The sequence below is a fragment of the Homo sapiens genome, chromosome 20 (assembly GCF_000001405.40).
Source record: "Homo sapiens chromosome 20, GRCh38.p14 Primary Assembly".
Taxonomy (NCBI): domain Eukaryota; kingdom Metazoa; phylum Chordata; class Mammalia; order Primates; family Hominidae; genus Homo; species Homo sapiens.
This window is the reverse complement of record NC_000020.11, coordinates 43,705,088-43,725,668: the sequence shown is the minus strand read 5'-3', so window position 1 is coordinate 43,725,668 and position 20,581 is coordinate 43,705,088. Positions and strand designations below refer to the sequence as shown.

General features: G+C 51.6%; 1 protein-coding gene across 2 annotated transcripts in view, besides 4 other annotated features; it reads right to left on the bottom strand.

The window, feature by feature from the left end:
* Nucleotides 3,265-3,334: an enhancer, noted in NCBI's record as "active region_17909". NCBI's record gives its function as "activates an Ori minimal core promoter by ATAC-STARR-seq in GM12878 lymphoblastoid cells {active_cell/tissue: GM12878}" and the evidence as "EXISTENCE:reporter gene assay evidence [ECO:0000049][PMID:35858748]".
* Nucleotides 5,054-5,254: a silencer, noted in NCBI's record as "peak4221 fragment used in MPRA reporter construct". NCBI's record gives its function as "represses an SCP1 promoter by STARR-seq MPRAs in K562 erythroleukemia cells {active_cell/tissue: K562}" and the evidence as "EXISTENCE:reporter gene assay evidence [ECO:0000049][PMID:32103011]".
* Nucleotides 9,187-20,581, bottom strand: part of MYBL2 (MYB proto-oncogene like 2) — a 49,369-nt gene continuing 37,974 nt past the window's right edge. For both annotated transcript variants that reach the window (NM_002466.4, NM_001278610.2), the window contains 6 exons: nucleotides 20,311-20,450; nucleotides 15,607-15,706; nucleotides 14,068-14,181; nucleotides 12,563-12,667; nucleotides 10,386-10,535; nucleotides 9,187-9,710 (listed from right to left, as the gene is read on the bottom strand). In NM_002466.4, coding sequence (NP_002457.1) covers nucleotides 9,582-9,710; nucleotides 10,386-10,535; nucleotides 12,563-12,667; nucleotides 14,068-14,181; nucleotides 15,607-15,706; nucleotides 20,311-20,450 — 738 coding nt within the window. In that variant the 3' untranslated portion in view covers nucleotides 9,187-9,581. The remainder of the gene's footprint in view (nucleotides 9,711-10,385; nucleotides 10,536-12,562; nucleotides 12,668-14,067; nucleotides 14,182-15,606; nucleotides 15,707-20,310; nucleotides 20,451-20,581) is intronic.
* Nucleotides 14,518-14,587: an enhancer, noted in NCBI's record as "active region_17908". NCBI's record gives its function as "activates an Ori minimal core promoter by ATAC-STARR-seq in GM12878 lymphoblastoid cells {active_cell/tissue: GM12878}" and the evidence as "EXISTENCE:reporter gene assay evidence [ECO:0000049][PMID:35858748]".
* Nucleotides 15,428-15,557: an enhancer, noted in NCBI's record as "active region_17907". NCBI's record gives its function as "activates an Ori minimal core promoter by ATAC-STARR-seq in GM12878 lymphoblastoid cells {active_cell/tissue: GM12878}" and the evidence as "EXISTENCE:reporter gene assay evidence [ECO:0000049][PMID:35858748]".

Here is a 20,581-nt window from a genome sequence, read left to right as displayed (position 1 = left end):
ATTATGCCGCCTTAAAAAAAGTGAGGAAGCTCTTTCTGTGCTGATATAGAAAGGTTGAGACACACTGTTGAGCTCAGAGGTCAGCAAACTGTTTCTGTAAAAGGCCAGATGGCAAATATCTTAGCCTTTGTCAGCCACACAGTCTGTGTTGCAACTACTCGGCCCTGCCACTGCAACACGAGAGCAGCCACATATAATATGTAAACAAATGAACAGAGGTTCCAATAAAATGCCTTACAGCCACAGGTGGCAGGCTGGACTTGACTGGTGGGCCATGGTTTGCCAACCCCCAGTTTAACTGATAAAAACCAAGTCCAGGCCGGGCCCGGTGGCTCATGCCTGTAATCCCAGCACTTTGGGAGCCGGAGGCGGGCCAATCACCTGAGGTGTGGAGTTCGAGGCCAGCCTGGCCAACATGGCAAAACCCCATCTCTACTAAAAATACAAAATTTAGCCGGGCGTGTGGTGGGCACCTGTAATCCCAGCTACTCAAGAGGCTGAGGCAGGAGAATAGCTTGAACCCGGGAGCAGAGGCTGCAGTTAGCCGAGATCACGCCATTGCAATCCAGCCTGGGTGACAGAGCGAGACTTTGTCTCAAAAAAAAAAAAGGAAAAAGAAAAGAAAAAACAAAAACAAGTCCAGAGCAGTCTATACAGTATGCCACCATTTGGGGAGAGTTGCGGGAGAAGACATGAATATGTATGTGCTTGTTTTTGCATAAAATTTCTCTTTAAGGATACTCTAGAATGGAGATCTGTCCACAAAGCCTGAAATTTTTCAACCTGTTGCCTAATAGAAAAATTTGCTTGCCTCTTCACTAGAAACTGATATTGTCTGCCTCCAGGGAAGACAAGAGAGAGCCCTTCTTTACTATTGACTCTTTAGAATCTTTTACATGGGAATATATATGAATATGTTATCTGGTCAAAAATTAAACTATATTTTTTTAAACAGCAGGTAGAAGACTTAAGTCCTTTGAAAGTTTTTCAGGAGGAAATCTTAACTGTTAAGTTTTTTTTTTGTTTTTTTGTTGAGACAGAGTCCTCGCTCTGTCGCCCAGGCTGGTGTGCAGTGGCGCAATCATAGCTCACTGTAGCCTCAACCTCTAAGGCTCAAGCAATCCTCTCGTCAAAGCCTAACAACTAGCTGGGACCACAGGCGTGCACCACCATAACTGGCTAGTTCTATTTTTTTGTAGAGATGGGGTCTCACTATGTTGCCTAGGCTCACTGCTTTTTTTTTTTTTTTTTAAGTAATCATAACTTTGCCACCCAGCTGGCCCCTTCAACTGCTTACACGAAGTATTATAAACAAAGACTTCTTGGGGGGATAAAAAGTTCTGGATGGCAGTGATTAATGAAGTGCATGAACTAGAGAACTGACATACAGGAAATAGGGGGAAAAAGTGATGTGGAGAATATATGTCTATAAACCATAGGCCAACAGGACCAGGAAAACTTACTCTTCCTGAAACTCCCTGAATTGGGCCATAAGGGAGTGAGCCTAGTGGAAGCGCTACCCACAGGGGCTCTGTCAAGACAGAGCAAGATAGAGCTGACGTCTGTCACTATGTAGTGGCAGCCTGGAGCATTCTGTAGGTATCCTCCAAGCTCCCAAAAGGCAGCTGGCCACCAGGCAGTGGGGAAAGGCAGCCCCACCAACCCTGGGCAACAGGCAAGCTTTGCAGGTTCATGCTGAGGGTTCCTGGCAAAGAGAGTGCGGTGGAAAAGCTGTGTCTTGGGGCAGAGGGTGCTCTGGCTGGCAGAGGAAGAAGAGAGAGGAACTATATTCAGGTCAGGTGCCTTGCTGAAATAATTCCATTAAATCCAGGCCACAAAACTGAGGAGCAAGTATTTTTATCTCCAATATACAGATATGAAAAGTGAGTTTCAGAAAAGCTAAATGACAGCCGGGTGTGGTGGCTCACACCTGTAATTCCAGCACTTGAGGAGGCCAAGGTGGGCAGATCACTTAAGGTCAGGAGTTCAAGGCCAACATGGCGAAACCCAGTCTCTACTAAAAATACAAAAAAATTATCTGGGCATGGTGGTGTGTGCCTGTAATCCCAGCTCCTCGGGAGGCTGAGGCAAGAGAATCACTTGAACCCAGGAGGCAGAGGTTGTAGTGAGCCGAGATTGCACCACTGCACCCCAGCCTGGGCAATAGAGCAGAACTCCGTCTCAAAAAAAAAAAAAAAAAAAACCTAAATAATGTGCCTTGGTTCACAAAGTTAGTGCATGGCAAGTGGCCTAATTGAATCCATCCCCAGCAGTTCCACTCCTAGATATGTATAAACCAGATGTGCATGACAGTTCACCAAAACATGAGGATGACATGTGCATAACAGCACTATTTTTTTTTAATTTAAAAGTAAACTTTAATTTCGAAAATGCAGACGTGGAGAGGGCAGACAGATCACACACAAGGCTACCACTTCACACTTGGAGGGTGGCACAGCAGCTGGGCAAAGCTGCTCCTCACTTCCCAGATGGTGTGGCAGCCAGGGAGAGGTGCTTCTTACTTCCCAGACTGTGGGGTGGCGAGGCAGAGGTGCTAACAGCACTATGTGTAATAGTCAGTCTGGAAGCAATCCACACATCCTTTGAGATAATGGGTAAATTGTGGAAGTCACACAACGAAAAACCAATATTGTAAATTTCAAAATTGAGAAGAGTAGACTTTAAATGGTCTCAACACACAAAAAAAGCACGTGAGGTGATAGATATGTGAATTAGCTTGGTTTAATCATTCTACTGTGTATGTATAAACATATCAAAACATCACATCATACCCCATAAACATATACAATTATTTGTCAATTAAAATTAAATTGGCCAGGTGTGGTGGCTCATGCCTCTAATTCATCCCAGCCCCACTTTGGGAGGCTGAGGCAGGAGGATCACTTGAGCCCATGAGTTCAAGACCAGCCTGGGCAACATAGTGAGACCATGTCTCTATAAAAACATTTAAAAAAATTAGCCGAGCGTGGTGGTGCACCTGCAGTCTCAGTTATTCGGGACGCCTGAGGTGGGAGGATCCCTTGAGCCCAGGATTTCAAGGCTGCAGTGAGAAAATCATATCACTACACTTCAGCCTAGATGACAGAATAAGACCATGTATAAAATAAAATAAAATATAGAAAATAAAATAGAAAATAAAACAAAATGGTCATGAGAATGAACAAATGATAACTACCCAGATCTACTTGGATGAATCTCACATAATGTGAAATTCTGTTGACATAATATTTAACGAAAATAAAAAGGCAAAGCAAAGCTGGTGTTTGATGTTAGGATGGCGGTTACCCTTCGTGGGTGGAGAGGGGGTTTCCAGTGCTGCTCTTGTTCTGTTGTTTGATCTGGGTGCTGGTTATGCGAGTCTGTTCACTTTGTGAAAACATATCCACAGCCACGTGGGATTCATGCACTCTTCTGTATGAATATTGCACTCCGATGGAAAGATTTTAACTGAACCTCTATCTAACGCTTACGGTTTTCTTCTATGGCACCATACTCCTACCCTGGCTGACAGGTATTGTCATTGGCTGCTGCCATCACATGGGCTGCAGCAGGGAGGCACCTGTGGCAGGGAAGCGCAGCGGGAGCTGCACACTCCATGGATCTGGTGCTCCCCAGGGGCCGCTGCAGCTGCCCAAATCTCAGCTGCCAACCCAGGCCTCCAGCTCCACAGAGCAGGCAGGAACCCTGCCCTACTGGACAGGGCTGCAGCTGCCCAAACTGCAGCTGTGGATCCAAGCCTTCCCGTGCTCTTAGCGGGGCTGGGAGCAGGCAAGATCTGCCTGTCTGGGTGCAGCTGCAGCCACCCGACTGGCGGCTGCAGACCTGGGCCTCCTGCTCCACAAACTAGGCAGGAGCTGGGGACAAGCAGGATCCCCACCCCTTCCAAGTTGGCGGGGCGGAAGCTCCCTGGGTGCAGCTGCAGCGGCCCTCCCAAGTGCAGGACCTGGGTATCTCTGCAGCCTGCATTCTCAGGCGGGGAATGCTCCCCATCCCTGCAGGCTCAGGGGTGTCTGCTCCCGCTGCCTGGACTATCTCCTCTCCAGGCACCTGCTCCAATCTGGGAGCAGGGTTGGGGCTGCACCCCAGGGGCCATGAATGGCAGCGGGAGTCAGATTCCTGGGCAGAAGGGGGCGAGTCCCCAGTAAGGCCCCTCCTTCAGGCCAGGGAGGGCCTGAAGGCTGGGAGCCAGCTGCCAGTCCTGAGGGCCGGAGTGGGGACTTGTGGTGCTCCCTCCCTGCTGCCCATGGCCACCCACAGAGCAATCAGCATGCACTTCACCCCCTCTGAGGTCTATAAAAGTCCCGGGCTCAGCCAGAGCAGGAGAGAGGACAGAGAAAGGGATGACCAGCTGCAGAGAGGAGCTACTGTCTCTGCTGGTAACTGGAGATAATGGGACAAACAGTAGCAGAGAGGAGCAACATCCTCCAGGGCCTCCTCTCCGCTGAGAGTTAACACTGCAGACCATCTGCCTACAGACAGAAGTTACTCACTGAGGGTCTCCTGTGAACTGTTGTAACACTCAATAAAGTTTCTCTTAATCATGTTCACCTTCCACCTGTCTGCGTACCTCCTGGACACAGGACAAGAACTCGGGTAAAGGTGCCATCAGCCACAGATGTTTCTGGCCAGAAAAGTGACAACCCAAAGAGCCCATAACAGTATGACACAGAGGATGGCATGGAATGGGGCATACTAAAATGCCAGACTTGCTGTCCAGGATTGGGCTCAAGTCCTGACTCAACCACTGTCTACCATCTTCCCTCCCAGCACTCACCTGAAACGTGGGCACTAATTTCTCCTTTGCAGGGTATATTGTGTGTAACAAAGAAATGAGAAACATGTAAAAACATACTAAGTAATAACATACTAAGAGCCCATGTTATCTGAGCACCAAGTATGTGCCATATTCTTCCCAATCCCTTCAACAAGTCTGAAGTTGAAGGATTCTCCCTATTTTACAGCCAAGGAGCCAAGGCTCAGTGCATTGAAGAGACACACAGCTCCCAAGAGCTAAGCTGGGTTTACACCCAAGTCTGTCTGATCCAAAGTAAGAGCTCTACCCAGGACTGCAGGAGGACCTGGGAGAGTCTGCCAGATGCCATGAGCCATATCTCTCCCCACTGCCTTCAGCTCTGGGGAACAAGACACAGGTATGGTCACAGTGGCTTTGAACTCCAGAATCCTTCACCCCATTCATTTCCCGCAAAGTTCCTGGAACCCTAGGTCTCCTGTTTCTCCCCAACCCTGATGAGCCCATGGCTCAGTGTTGATTTTCCTCAGTGATACACCAGGGTCTGCTGAAAAAGTGGCTAATTAAGACTCCCAAACTACTCCTGGCCTATCAAAACTGCTCCTGCCCCAGTCCCTGCCTTGCTCTGAGAAGGACATTTTATCTTTATCCTGGACCACCTTAAGTACTCACATGTCCCAGTTCCTCATGCCAGCATCTCTATCAGTCAGCTTCTGCTGTGTAACAAACCATCCTCAATCTTAGGGCTTAAAGCAATACTGATTTATTATTCTCATGACTTTGTGATCAGATGGGCAGTTCCTCCAGTCTGGGCCAGATCAGGTGAGGCTGGATGGTTTAGGGTGGCCTTACTCACGTCTGGAGTCTCAACCAGAACAGCTAGAATTCTCACCTCCTTCAGCAGATTCTCCCAGAGTCCCTCAGGGGCAAAGTCAACCACATGACCCACTCATGGGAATAGCTACAGGGAGCAGTGATCCCTAGGGAGCCATTGCTGGAACAATCTACCACAGCCTCTATATCTGTGAGCCTCTCACCTCCAGGCCATGCTGGTCACCAAATGCCAGACAATCATCTGGATCTTGCCAGAATGGCAGATTCACCCTCTGCCATTTTTTTTTTCCAAGATAGTTTTGCTCTTGTTGCCCAGGCTAGAGTAAGTGCAATGGTGCGATCTTGGCTCACCGCAACCTCCGCCTCCTGGGTTCAAGCGATTCTTCTGCCTCAGCCTCCAAAGTAGCTGGGATTACAGGCATGCGCCACCATGCCCGGCTAATTTTGTATTTTTAGTAGAGACGGAGTTTTTCCATGTTGGTCAGGCTGGTCTCAAACTCCCGACCTCAGATGATCTGCCTGCCTCGGCCTCCCAAAGTGCTGGGATTACAGACATGAGCCACCACGCCCAGCCTCCCTCTGCCATCTTAACTAAGCCTCATCTTTCCCTCCTGCCTGTCCCTCTCCCAGGCTGACCGCAGCACCCCCACTCCTGTACTACCATCCTGAACTCAGGCCCTCTGCCCCTCAGCGCTATCTGGCTAACTCTTTCTTGCTTGCCACACTAGCCTGGGAAACATCAGGCCTGGATCAATCCTCATGACCAAGTTCCCCAAACTCCTGATCAAACAGCAGCTGGGCCCCCAGCACCTCCTGAGTGGCAACCAATCTGCCTTCCCATGTGGGCTCTCCCTGTCCCCATGATGGCCAGGAGCTGTCAAATCTGACTCCTCCCCACTTTCTCTGAGCAGATGACTGGCCTCACGGTACCCCCTGCTTTACTTCAAAGTTCCCTCTGGCACATTTTATATCAATTGGTTGGTTTATATCTGTCTGCTTTTTAGAATTTAAGCTCCATGGCCGGGCGCAGTGGCTCACGCCTGTAATTCCAGCACTTTCGAAGGCTGAGGCACGCGGATCACAAGGTCAGGAGATCGAGACCATCCTGGCTAACACGGTGAAACCTTGTCTCTACTAAAAATGCAAAAAAAAAATTAGCCGGGCATGGTGGTGGGTGCCTGTAGTCCCAGCTACTCGGGAGGCTGAGGCAGGAGAATGGTGTGAACCCAGGAAGCGAAGCATGCAATGAGCCAAGATCGCACCACTGCACTCCAGCCTGGGCAACAGAGCAAGACTCCATCTCAAAAAAAAAAAAAAAAAAAAGAATTTAAGCTCCATGAGAATAAGGTAGTTTTTTGGTTTTTGTCTTTTGAGATAGGGTCTTGCTTTGTCACTCAGGCCGGAGTAGAGAGGCACAACCACAGCTCAAGAGATCCTCCCACCTCAGCTTCCTGAGTAGCTGGGACTACAGGCATGAGCCATCATGCTATCATGCTAAGTTTTTAAAATTTTTTGTAGAGATGGGGTTTCACCATGTTGCCCAGGCTGGTCTCAAACTCCTGGGCTCAAGTGATCCTCCCACCTCAGCCTCCTAAAGTACTAAATTACAGGCATGAGCCACCACACCTGGCCTGGTTTCTATCCTTTACTGCTATATCTTCAGCACTACAACTATGCCAGACATGTGGGGGTAGGGTTGGAGGGTCCCTCAATAAATGTGGTTTTGTTTTTGTTTTTGAGACAGTGTCTCCCTCTGGTTGCCCAGGCTGGAGTGCAGTGGAATGATCTCAGCTCACTGCAGCCTCGACCTCCTGGGCTCAGGTGATTCTCCCACCTCAGCCTCTCGAGGAGCTGGGACTAAAGGCACATGCCACCATGCCCAGCTAATTTTTTCTATTTTTTTTTTAGTAGACAGAGGGTTTCATGATGCTGCCCAAGCTTATCTCAAACTCCTAGACTCAAGCAATTTGGCCTCCTCGGCCTCCCAAAGTGTTGGGATTACAGGCGTGAGCCACCATACCCGGCCTAGTATTTATTTAATGCATGAACCAAAGAACAAGCCCACAGCACACAGAGCTCAGTGAGGATGGTATGTTAAGCTTGCTGTTACCTGCAGCCACTCTGTTCTTTACAGCCTCCTCCCTCCAGGACAGGAAAGGGCCTGAGGGCAGTCCCTGGGAATGAGCAAGACCTCAGGCAAGAGAGGGCATGGGGTACAAGCCCCTGGAGCCTCACAGGCGTCAGCTCAGAGTGTAGCCAGTCAACGCCCTGCATGTGAATAACCCACTGGTGGTTTGTTAAAAATCCCTTTTTGCAGGCTCCACCCCAGGTACCTGACTCAGAGGGCCCAGGAATTTTCATCATTAGCCTGCAGCGCACTGCATTTGAGTTTGACAAAGTTGTTCCACCGAGTCTTGGTGTGAGCTATAGGAGACAAGGTAATGCAGCCTCCATCCTCACCGTGGGGCACAGGTCATCCACCTTGGGTGACCAAGGACTGTAGGGAGCGGCCAGTGACAGACCTTGGGGAAGAAGTTGGGGAGGGGATAGGCTCCATGCTGACAAATCACAAAAGCTCAGGGCGTGAGTTAGGTGTGGTTCATCCATGGAACCTGCAGGTGCATGCAGCCCAGCCACATGGGCTGCGGGGTGCGGGGTGCAGGGTGGGAAGCACAGAGCCCCCGCCCCTCCTCGGCTTTAGATCAAGAACTGGGACACTGCCAGGACCAAGCACGGCATGCCTGCATGTGAATGGACAGGAGTAGGGGGACTGTAGGCGGGAGCTCAGCAGGGAGAAAGGGGTGTGTCTGAGGCCAGACACATCTGAACTCTGGCACCCTAATTAACTCAGTCCCCATCCCTCTAGAGTTGGCCGCATCTCTTGCCCCAGGTGAGGACCTGCCCCAAGTCTGCTCAACCTCTGCCCACAGGGATGTTCATGTGCCTGTCCCATGAAGCCTGCTGCTGAAAACATCAATTCCTCATTTAGACATTCTCAGACTTGGCATCTTCCCCTCTTCAATCCCCAGTGACTCTTCCCAACCACCTGCCAAGCACTGTGCTCTGTAGCCACAACCCTAGGGATTTAGGGCCACAAGGGCAGAGGCTCTGGCCCATCCTGGCCTCCTGCTCAGCCTTGGCCAATGGGGCTAGAGGGTTCTGCCCAGCTGCCTTCACCCCTCTTCCTTGCTTACTGGTCTGACCTGGGGGCCACGCTCAGCTTGAGGCAGGGGCTTGTTAATGGGCAGGTGAGCCACCCAAGGCAAGGGCCAGGCAAGGCCCTACTGCACCAACCCATCGTCCTCCTCCGCCCCCAGTCTCTGCCCACCCCCGCCCAACCCCATGGCTATTAATACTCAGAGCTTTGCAGAGATGCCCACTGGGTGCAGAGACGAGAGAAATTGCTCTCATCTCATTGTGCCCCTCTGTGGAAACAGGGTCAAGGGCTCAGGCCTGGGCTGTGCCGATAAGGCTGGCCTCTGAGGATGAGCATTCAGGTCCCTATATCCCAGAAGAGGCCCCTAGGTCACCAGGGAACCATGAGCAGGGCCCAGTAGAGAGGCAGAGTCCAGACCAGCACAAAGAGAGAGGCAATTTTATTCTTCCAAAAAAATGCACCAAGAGAGGGTGAGCACAGGAGCACCCCTGGCCACATCCCCCATCCTAAGCAGGGTCTGAGATGAGGCCAGGCCTGACGTGGGCTTGGGAGAAGCTGACGGAGCTCCCTGTGGCCTTGGGGAGGGAACCAGGCAGACCTGGAAGTGGAACTTTGTTGTTAGCACCAGGAGCCGCCCACAGCTGGGCTCGGCAACAGGGCAGCACATGGCCCTGTTGCCTCCACCTGAGAGTCTGGGGAGGGGCTGGTGGCAGAAGGCTCCCTGCAGGAGGTCACCTGAATGACTCTCAGATTCACAGACCCCCTCTGCCCCCACAACCCCTGTAAACATGAGAATGGGCTCGTGACACCCTCAACACCTCAGGACAAGATGAGGGTCCGAGATGTGTGGCTGGGCTTCAGGCGGCCCAGGAGCTGCCGGGCTTTCTCCTGCATGAAAAGCTGGTCCCTGGTCCCCCCGCAGGCCACCGTCTTCCAGGCACTGGACATCTGGGAGGAGGCAAGAGGGTTACCATCCAGGCAGGGACTATGTGTTCCCAACAGACCCTGGTGATCCTGGCCAGGGAAGGGTAGAGTTATAAGCCTCCCTCCCCTAGAAGCCAGAGCCTTCTTATTCTCTCTCCACATTCCCTGTGACCCTGGACAAGTCACTTCCTGGCTGTGGGCTTCCTCAACTGTAAGTAGGACGCTGGACAAGGAGACATGGCCATGCACTGCCCGCCCCGTGCAGCACCAGCCTCGAGGAGAAGCCACAGCCAGGAGGCGGGTGAGAAGGAGCAGTGAGACGGGTCAGCAGCCTGAAGCCAGCCCCTGCTTGAGGACAGACATGTACTAAGCAAACCAAATACAGGGATAATGACTTAGTTACAAGTGAAACCCAGGCCACAAAAGAGAGAATGGCAGAATGGGGGTATCTCTACAGAATGTAGGGTCAGAGAAGGCTTACCCCTAAGGAAGCAGCATTGAGACTGAAATCAGAAGAGTAAGTTAAGCAAATGCAGCCACGGGAAGTAGCAGGAAAAGCACCCAGGCAGAGGAACAGCCTATGCAAAGGCCCTGAGCTAAGAAGGCGGGCACTGCAGGACCCCCAGGGATGGCCAGCACTCAGCCCTGAGCTAAGAAGGCGGGCACTGCAGGACCCCCAGAGATGGCCACAGCACTCACAGGGGCAGGTGTCGTGAAGTGGCTTCGGGGCTTCTGGGCCACTGCTGCCTTCTCGGGCTTGGCCTGCAAGAAGCCCTGGTTGAGCAAGCTGTTGTCTTCTTTGATACCTGACAGGGTGAGGCTGGAAGAGTTTGAAGGGGCAGTTGTCGGCTGAAACCAAAACCAAGTCAAGGAGTCACCATTTTGCGAGAAGCTGTGAGAGGGAAGAAAAAAACCCGCAATCCCACCCCAGCACCACCACCTGGCTGCTGAGACCTGAAAGAGGATACACACTTTTCCAAGCCTCAGTTTCTGCTTTCAGATAGGGAGTTTACATGAGCTTAAGCTTACTTTATACTTAAAAGATTAAGCAAAGGGCCAGGAGCGGTGGCTCACGCCTGTAATCCCAGCACTTTGGGAGGCCGAGGCAGGCGGATCACGAGGTCAAGAGATCGAGACCATCCTGGTCAACAGGGTGAAACCCCGTCTCTACTAAAAACACAAAAATTAGCTGGGTGTGGTGGTGGGCGCCTGTTGTCCCAGCTACTTGGGAGGCTGAGGCAGAAGAATGGTGCGAACCTGGGAGGAGGTGGAGCTTGCAGTGAGCCGAGATTGCACCACTGCATTCCAGCCTGGGAGACAGAGCCAGACTCCGTCTCAAAAAAAAATTAAGCAAAGAACTTAATCTTGTTCTAAAGAACTTTCTTACTTAAAAAAAAAAAATCAAGTAATCAAGTAAAGAAACGTGTGTGCGTTTCAGAGCCTGATTCAGTGGTGTGTCTGGAGGCACAGTCAAGTACGTGGGGGCACATCAGCCCTGGGATGGGTGCCGTGCAGCCCCCAGGCCATAATAACATAATCAATAAATGTGGAGTATCACTGAGCATTATCCAGTAATAACATACTCAATAACGTTGGCTTTGTCACATAAAGCCTCAGGAGGAGCCAAGGCTGTTCCTAGTTTTCCTGGGACCAGAAACATCCACAAGCATCATAAAGACGCAGCTTCAACCCCAAGCACAGCGGAGTTGCACAAAGCCCCTCCCACGCCCTTCCAGTCTCTCTGCTCTGCTTGGCACTGTGCCCTCCTGACTTAGGCTTGGCACCCCTTTTATAGGCTTTTAACTGGGGCTCAGGGAACCTGAAAGATCCCAGAGAGCAGTGATGGTGTCATAACTCAAACCCAGGCCCACCTGACTCAATCTGTGCTCTTCACTCCCTGCGGTGATGTTTTTTTCTTTGCAGTAACCTGGCTGCAGGTCCCCAGCCTGTCAGAGACCCCTAGCCAGGACAAGGTTTCTCTGCAAGGACCGTGAGGGCAGCAGTCTACTTGGAAGATCAGGCAACCCTTAACCTTTGTTCATGACGCCGCCATGCCTCTCACCGCCTCCCCACTCTGAGCCAGGGCAAGCCAACTCACCCCATTGTGAGCAGAGAGGGATCAGCAGCACACCCTGGCTTCTGGGGACCCAGGCTCTGCACAGGCAACAACCCCCTTTCTGAGGTCGACCTCACTGTAGCACCCGGCACAGCAAGTCCACTGGCCTGGGGGCTGTATAGCACCCATCCCAGGACTAATGTGCCCAAGTGCCTGGCTATACCTTAAGACACATTACTAGGCTGGGCACGGTGACTCACGCCTGTAATCCCAGCACTCTGGGAGGCCGAGGCAGGCAGATCACCTGAGGTGGGGAGTTCGAGACCAGCCTGACCAACATGGAGAAACCCCGTCTCTACTAAAGATACAAAATTAGCCGGGCGTGGTGATGCATGCCTGTAATCCCAGCTACTTGGGAGGCTGAGGCAGGAGAACAACTTGAACTCGGGAGACGGAGGTTGCAGTGAGCCGAGATGGCACCATTGCACTCCAGCCTGGGCAACAAGAGCGAAATTCCAATTCAAAAAAAAAAAAAGAAAAAAAAAGACACATCACTGACCCTCTCTGGGAGAGCGCAGGAGACCCAGATGCATGTTTTTAAAACATGTCCTAGCCGCGCAACTCTGCCAAACAAAACCTTCTGTGAGAGACAAGCAGAGCTGCTGACTGAAGCCATGAGTGGGTGCCCGGACCCACCCTCCCTGATAGCCCCTCCCTGCAGAGCCCAGGGTTCCAGAAGCCCAGTTGGAGAGTCACTACACTAACTCCACCTTGAGGGTCCTCTCCAAAACTCAACAGTTCCAAGGAGCAGAAGCCTTACCAAGGATAGAGACTTGGGCAGTGTGGACATCATCAGCTTCACATCCTCATCCACAATGTCAAGAGCCAGAGACTTCCGGACTTTCTTGATGGGGCTCCGCCGCAGCTAGGGGTTGGCAGATAGAAGGGGGTTAGGGTGAGTGTCTGGATTCCCCATGGTCAGCACCTGGATGGTCATGGCCATGGATGGTCACAAAACCAGGCCCTGCTGCAGTGCAGACTTGGAGCAAGGCCCAGCTAGTGGGAATCTGCTGTCAGAAGAATGGGGTGGCTGGGAAAGTTAGGCCCCATGGCCCCATTAGACTCTGTACCCAAGGTAGACCCTATCCTGCCAGGTGCTGCGACAGTGAGCAGGAACACAGCATGAACCTCCACCACGAAGTGACCTGTTCTCACCCCGAATGGACCAGACACAGCCCCTCAAACAGGCCCAGCAGAGAATCACCCCAGTAACACCTAAAATAGCACCCACAGGCCAGTAATATGGGAACACAAACCCCTCAGGACAAGCCCCTCTACAATGCCTAATACAATCAAGGAACGCCCCATTCCTAACCGTGCACCTCACAGAAGCAGGTCCAGGGCCTGCTCCGATACCAGGGAGCGGCTCTGAGAGTCACATCCCCACTCTACCCAACAGTGCACTCAGCAGGGGCTGCCATGGCTCACAACCATCCCCACCAAGGAGAGGCCAGGGAGGACCCTGGAGGCCAGAGGCCAAGTTCTCTCCACGTGCACATGGGGTGCCAGCTCGGGCAAGTCCCGCCCAGGCTGACCGCCCACCTCCCCTCCTTACCTAACACCCTGTACATCCCACCGTTCCCAGCTCTCCCTTGAGGAGAGCAGTCTGGGAAAAAGGAGCACTAGGAGACTCGAAGGGATCGCGCACTGTCATGAAAGCTAACGACGCAGTGGGAGGGAGGCTGGCATAGAACGGAGGCTTGGGACAGTCCCTTCCCTGCCCCCCTGCCCAGGAGCCCCTGCAGACTCCACCTCACCTGAACCCACTCCCCCACCCCCAGCTCATGCAGCTTGACACTCAGCCAGGCACTGCCTGGCCTGGCTGGCTCATCCCGACCGCCTCGCCTCCACCCAAAAGATTCCTTTGGAACCTCCCTTTCTGCGGCCCTTGGTACCCTGTGAATTCAGTCATGGTGTGTCTGTCTAGCATCTGTCTCTGCCCCCTGAACACTAAGGGGAGATCCAGTCTGGGTCGTAATTGCTGCTCCATCCACCACATCCAGCCCAGCCCAACTTGAGCAGGGTCCGAACACAATGCTGGATAAGTAAGTGAATCCTTCAAAGCAGAGCAGAGGAGGGTCCCAGAGACACTGTCCTTATCTTGTCAGTTTCCTCAACAACCACCGTGCGAAAGGGGGCAAAGGGGATATGCTACGCCCCCATTCTCCCCAGCGCCTCACTTTCTACAACCTGTCCCCAGACGCCTCCCCCATGCCACGGCTCCAATTCCCCCTGCCCAGGCTCTCCCACCCCTACCCTACTCACCCCAGGCTTCCTCTTCTGCTTCTCGGGCCTGATGTCGTCCTCGATGATGAGTTCGATGCCAGCCTCAGAACGCAGCACCTCCTTCAAGTCCTCCTCCAGGTGCGGGGTCTGTGGCTGTGGGTAGGCACGGGGCAGCCCACGTGAGGCACCACACTCGGGCTGTGTGTGTGTGGGACTGTGGGACCAACCCAGCTGCAACTGGGCTGTCCTGGGTAAGGCAGGAAGGAGGCCTGACGCCAGGATGCAGATCTCACACGCACCATTCACAACCACTAACTGCTGCCTTGGACAAGCAGCTGATGACCTTGATTCCCAGGGGCCTGCCATGGCTGGGAGCAGCCCAGAGACGCACTGTAACCCTCACACAGCCCTGTGCAGTAACCGTCATTTTAAGCAGGTAGAAACAGAAGCTCAGAGATCAACAGCCTGGCACACAGTCACACAGCTGCTGAATTAGGACCCCGACAGCTCAAAGCCCAGGCTCACTCAACCCTTTGTTCCACACTAATGGGGGCTCTCAAACCCATTTCCCTTTCTCAGGCCTCGGGGTTCCAAGGACCTCTCCAGCTTCAGGCAACAGAGAACAGGGGAGGGCGAGTGCTACTAAGAGTGAAAGGTGCGAATCACAGCCACTCCTCATAAGTCATCCGAAAAGCCCCCACAAACTTTAATTACAGCTGCCAAGGTCATGTGATTTGCCCTCACACCTGTTTGGAGAGCATGCAGATATTTTAGTACAGAGGAGCCAAATCTCCACTGCAACAGGAAAGGAGCACTAACTAGTGCCTCACCTCGGCTCATGTAGCATGGTCCGTGGAAAGTCTGCTTGACTCAGAATCAGTTCCATGGCAGGCCCAAGGGAGCCTCAGCCCCCAGCCACCTTGGGCTTCATAGGAGGCTCCATGCAGTGGAGAGAGACAGCAGGGGGACCCGCTGCAGACCTTGTTCACAGTCCAGTGCCTCCACAACCATGCCTTTCTCTCACCCTCCACTGATTTCTAAAACACCTGTGTGTTTCAGAAAGCCCAAGGTGCCAACTCCTTTTTTCATAGAGAAAACACAACCATCCCATCAACTGGGAAGAGCAGGGGAGAAGGGCAGCCTGCACACTGCAGGAAAGACGTCCCCGAGGGGCTTTCCCGTGCTCTGTAGAGAACTGGGAGTTGGTCAGAGACAGGCCAGAGTAGCAATTTGCCACTTCTCTGAACTAGGCCCAGTGCTTATCTTTGCCTGAAAGTGTTTAAGTTATTTGTATTTCACATCAGTCTCCCCCATCCTGAGGCTGAGTGTCACGGGATACCACCATGTCTCTAGCACCAGCCGGCGCGTGCTTGCAAACTCAGGTGCTCAGGAGCAGTCGGAGGAAGTGACAAAGAGCAGCCTCAGCTTCCCCATTTATATTATCAGGATCTCTGCATCTTCTCAGGAGAAAGAATCAAATGAGACCTCAGAGGGAAGGGTCCTGTGGACTGAACATGGTTGGATGAACCGAAGGGATCCCACTGTGCAGAGATCCACGGCAGCGACCACACCACGTACCAGGGGCTTCAGGGGTCCGTACTTCTCCAGGGCGTTCTTGAACGGGGTTGGCGTGTGGGGAGTGTTGTCCATGGAGTACTTCTGATCTGGGGTTACAAACCTGCCAGGGGCCAGAACGGGGGAACTAGTGACAGGATAGGGGCCGACGCCAGGCACTCTGCTGCCCTGGCTCCACCTTCCCCCAGTGCGACCTTTGGCCCCAGCACAGGTTCTCGTCCCATCCCTCTCCCCACCCTGCAGGTCCAAGTCAGGGGCTCGGGGGAAACAGAAGGGAGAGGGGAGTCTAAGAGGGGCCAGGAGCCCCAGACAGGTGGCAGATAGCCGAGAATGCTGCTCAGTCATGGTCCAGACTTGGGACTTTCCAGAAAACAAGGCAGTCCGTGGCCACACTTCAGGAACAGTGAGAGGGGGCACGGAGCAAGGTGGGAACCCAGGAAGATCCCATCCTGCCCAGCTCTCCCTGGAGAGCCTGTGTGAGAAGGATGGTGGCAGCACAATGAGGGAAAGGAGGGGCGAGAGGTGAGGCCAGCATCTTCCCAGGTCTCCCAAGAGTTCACCGAGGTGATGGACACGTGGAGGGAACCCTTCAGCAGAACAGAGAAAAACCCAGGATGGTCTGGTCCAGAAGCAGAACTATAAGATGCTTCTATCAGATGTAGACCCACCATGGGTGATTTCCACCTGCCCTAGAGCAGGGGGGCAGAAAAGGCACCTCACGCCCCAGAGCGCCAGGGCTGGTGGTATGGGGCTGGGCCAGGCTGGCTGTGGGCAAATGTCAGCTCTGAAGGAAGCTACCAGGTTCCACAAACACGAACCCTTGTGTGCTGGTATGTGACCTTAGTCACCTGGAGATACCACCATGGCTGACTCTCATGGCATAACCAGGGCACTCAGAGGATGAGAGAAACACCCCAGGTAGCCAGGGACCTGGGTGATGAGGCCAACTCCTAGAAACAGCAGCCTGGGGCCTCGCCGCCTCCACTTCCCGCAGCTGGCCAGCCACTCCATGGGGAGATAAAAAACTAGAACAAATGCAGACCATTCTTTTCTTCCTTCCTCAGGACCTAGAGATTAGGCAGGGATCCACAGTCTCTTCCCAAACCCTTGTTATCCCCCATCTGGGACACACAGAGATCCCCCTCTGTAAGGAAGAGTGAAGACAGATAAGCACAAGTCAAATGTACACATCTTACAGTTCAAACCACAATTCACAGAGGTGAATCTGAGCCACTCAAGCATCTCCATGGGACATGGAGTTTCTGAGGAACATGAGAAAATTCCAGAACCTCTCTAATTCGTGGCATCAACAAGGACTAAGAGCACACACATGGCCAAAGGCAGTGGTTCACGCCTGTAATCCTAACACTCTGGGATTAGTGTTAGGCTGACAGGAGAGGATCACTTGAGGCCAGGAGTTAAAGAACAGTCTGGGTAACACAGACTCCATCACTACTAAAAATAAAAAAATCAGCCAGCCATGGTGGTGCTTGTAGTCCCAACTACTCCAGAGGCTATGGTAGGAGGACCACTTGAGCCCAGAATTCAAGGCTGCAGTGAGCCATGATTGCACCACTGCACTCCAACCCGGGTGACTAAGAGAGACCTTGTCTCGGAAAAAAGAAAAAAAAGAGTGTATATACACACATTAGAAAACTCAGGGAGAGGCCGGGCCTTGTGGCTCACCCCTGTAATGCCAGCACTTTAGGAGGCTGAGGCGGAAGGATTGCTTGAGTCCCAGAGTTCAAGACTAGCCTGGGCAACACAGTGAGACCCTGTCTCTCAAAAAAACAAAAAAATTAGCCAAGCATGGTGGTGCACACCTGTGTTCTCAGCTAGTTAGAAGGCTGAGGTGGGAGGATCACTTGATCCTGGGAGGTAGAAGTTGCAGTGGGCCATGATCACACCACTGTATTCAACCTTGGGGACAGAGCAAGACTGTCTCAAAAAGAAAACTCAGGGAGGCAGGGAGGCTGACTTGAAAAGGGAATTCAAAAGATTGCTTGGAGATAAAAAATGCAGCTCTGTAAATCAGAGAATTCAGCAAGTTGGAAACCACAGACAACCAAACTGGTGAATCAGAAAACAATCCCATCATGTTCTCCGAAGATTAAGGAAATGGCTTAAGATGGTGAAGAGGCGTATGAAGACGAAAAAGACACAGAGACCAATCCAGCCTATATATGAAGGAATTCCTAAGGTAGGAGAAGGGGCAGACAGGGAAAGAAAAACTAAAGAAATAAACACTTCCTCAGCTCAAGGTTTGAATCTTTAGTCTGATATGAAAGCCGGGGGGGAAAAAAATAGAGAAATACCACACCACCATACAGCCTGTCAAATTTGAGGGATAACTAAAGAGACTCTCTACAAAGGAATAACAGCTGGATTACAGCTCACGCCTGTAATCCCAGCACTTTGGGAGGCCGAGGCAGGCCATTTGAGTCAGGAGTTCGAGACCAGCCTGGCCAATATGGCGAAACCCCATCTCTACAAAAAAATAGAAAAATTAGCAAAAAAATATAAAAATTAGAACTCATCACCAGCAAGCCCACACTACATGGTTAAAGGATGGCCTTCAGAAGGAACCAGATGGAAATATGGATCTAAAGAGGAATGAAGAGCACTGGAGATGCTTCTTCCTATGGAAAAAAGGAATTGGAAGGAGGCAGCAAATGAGGCCACATGGATAAGAAAGAAAGGGAGAGAGAGAAGTATCAATGCCTTTTGTAGTGACAGCATCTCTGTTTAAGGGCTTAGATGCGAAGTCCAAGATTCTGGTTTGAACGGACAATCATTTCTCACGAAACCTATCTAAGTTATGCTTTAGATCAACTCTTTAGAGACTGATTTCTTTTTTCTCTTTTTTTTTTAAAAAAAAAAAAAACTAGAAAGAGAGTCACGCTTTGTCACCTAGGCTGGAGTGCAGTAGCCAATCATAGCTCACTGCAGCTTCAAACTCCTGGGCTCAAGCAATCCTCCCACTTCAGCCTCCCGAGTAGCTGGGACTACAGGCACACACGGCCACGCCCAGCTAATTAAAAAAATTTTTTTTGGCTGGGAGCAGTGGCTCACACATATAATCCCAGCACTTTGGGAAGCCGAGGCGAGTGGATCACAAGGTCAGGAGTTTGAGACCAGCCTGACCAACACGGTGAAACCTCGTTTCTACTAAAAATACAAAAATTAGCTGGGTGTGGTGGCGCGTGCCTGTAATCCCAGCTACTCAGGAGGCTGAGGCAGGAGAACTGCTTGAACCCGGGAGGCGGAGGTTGCAGTGAGCCGAGATTGCACCACTGCACTCCAGCCTGGGTGATAAAGCAAGACTCCATCTCAAAAAAAAAAAAAACTTTTTTTTTTTTTGTGTACAGACAGGGTCTCCCTATATTGCCCAGACTGGTCTTAAACCCCTAGTCTCAAGTGATCCTCCCACCTTGGCCTCCCAAGCGCTGGGATTACAAGTGTGAGCCACTGAGCCGGACTTTGGAGACTGATTTCTGACTAAGGGATTCACAAATCTTTTCCCGAAATTATGTATCACTATCAGGGCTAAAATTCCTGAGCTGATTTCTGAATCACAAAATAGCGATTTCCTCCTCCAGCAAATGTATCAAGCAGAGGAATAGTTAAGCAACTCTCTCTACCTGGAATTTAGAATCATGATGACCCAAGGAAGTAAACTTATTGTAAAAGCACTTCCATTGTAAAAGCAGGCTGGCGAGCAACCTGTACAGGCTTCCAGACAGAAAATGTCATGCTCCGTAAGCTCAGAGGACAGGAATGCAGTCTCCACTCTTGATAGAGGGATGGGCACTTTCGCCCTGCACATAAGGCTGCTCAAACACAACGAATTTGCACCTGAAACCTTAGGAAGCGGAAGAGATTATGTTTTTCAGGCTAATTTGGACTCTCCATTCCTGAGACAGAAAATTATCAAATGAGGGCCAGGTGCAGTAGCTCACGCCTGTAATCCCAGCGTTTTGGGAGGCTGTGGCAGGAAGATCACTTTAAGGCCAGTTCAAGACCAGCCCAGATAAAGTAGCAAGACCTCACCTCTTAAAAAAATTTTAGCCGGGTGTGGTGGCTCACGCCTGTAATCCCAGCATTTTGGGAGGCTGAGGCAGGAGGATCACGAGGTCAGGAGATCGACACCATCCTGGCTAATACGGTGAAATCCTGTCTCTACTAAAAATACAAAAAATTAGCTGAGCGCGGTGGCGGATGCCTGTAGTCCTAGCTACTCGGGAGGCTGAGGCAGGAGAATGGCATGAACCTGGGAGGCGGAGCTTGCAGTGAGCCAAGATCGCGCCATTGCACTCCAGCCTGGGCAACAGAGCAAGACTCCATCTCAAAATAAATAAATAAATAAATAAATAAATAAATAAATAAATAAATATTTTTTTAATTAGCTGAGCATGGTGGCATGCACCTGGAGTCCCAGCTACTCAGGAGGCTGAGGCAGGAGGATCACAAAAAAGGAAACTATCAAATTAAAAAATACAAATGAGGAAAAGCAAAGGTGGAGCCCAAAACTATATCGATAAAAATGATAAATCGTGGTGGCCAGAAAGGAGAGGGCTTTCTTAAAACAGTCTTCAGTGTTATTCCAAGGGTGCCCCCTCCCCACTGTTCCACCAGTGGTCCCAAGGCCCATGGTCTGGTGTTGCTGAGGGAGAGGACGGCGAAGGTTGGGGGCACTGCAGCACTCACGCAGCATGTTTCTGGTGCAGGGGTGTCTTGTCCCGGTGCAGTGGTGTGGTGACCACCACCTTCTGGCTGCACACTGGGGTGGATGTCAGCGAGGGGCTCTCCAGCTCCAATGTGTCCTGTTTGTTCCAGAAGTTCAGAAACTGCCAAAGAAGAGAGAGGGAACAAGACAAAATGATGACCTGCATGAGTATCCCTGAGACCTCAGGGGATCATGGGGAGAGATCCTTGAGCCTCTCCCCCAAAACGTCTGCTCTGATACTGAGGTCCCCTC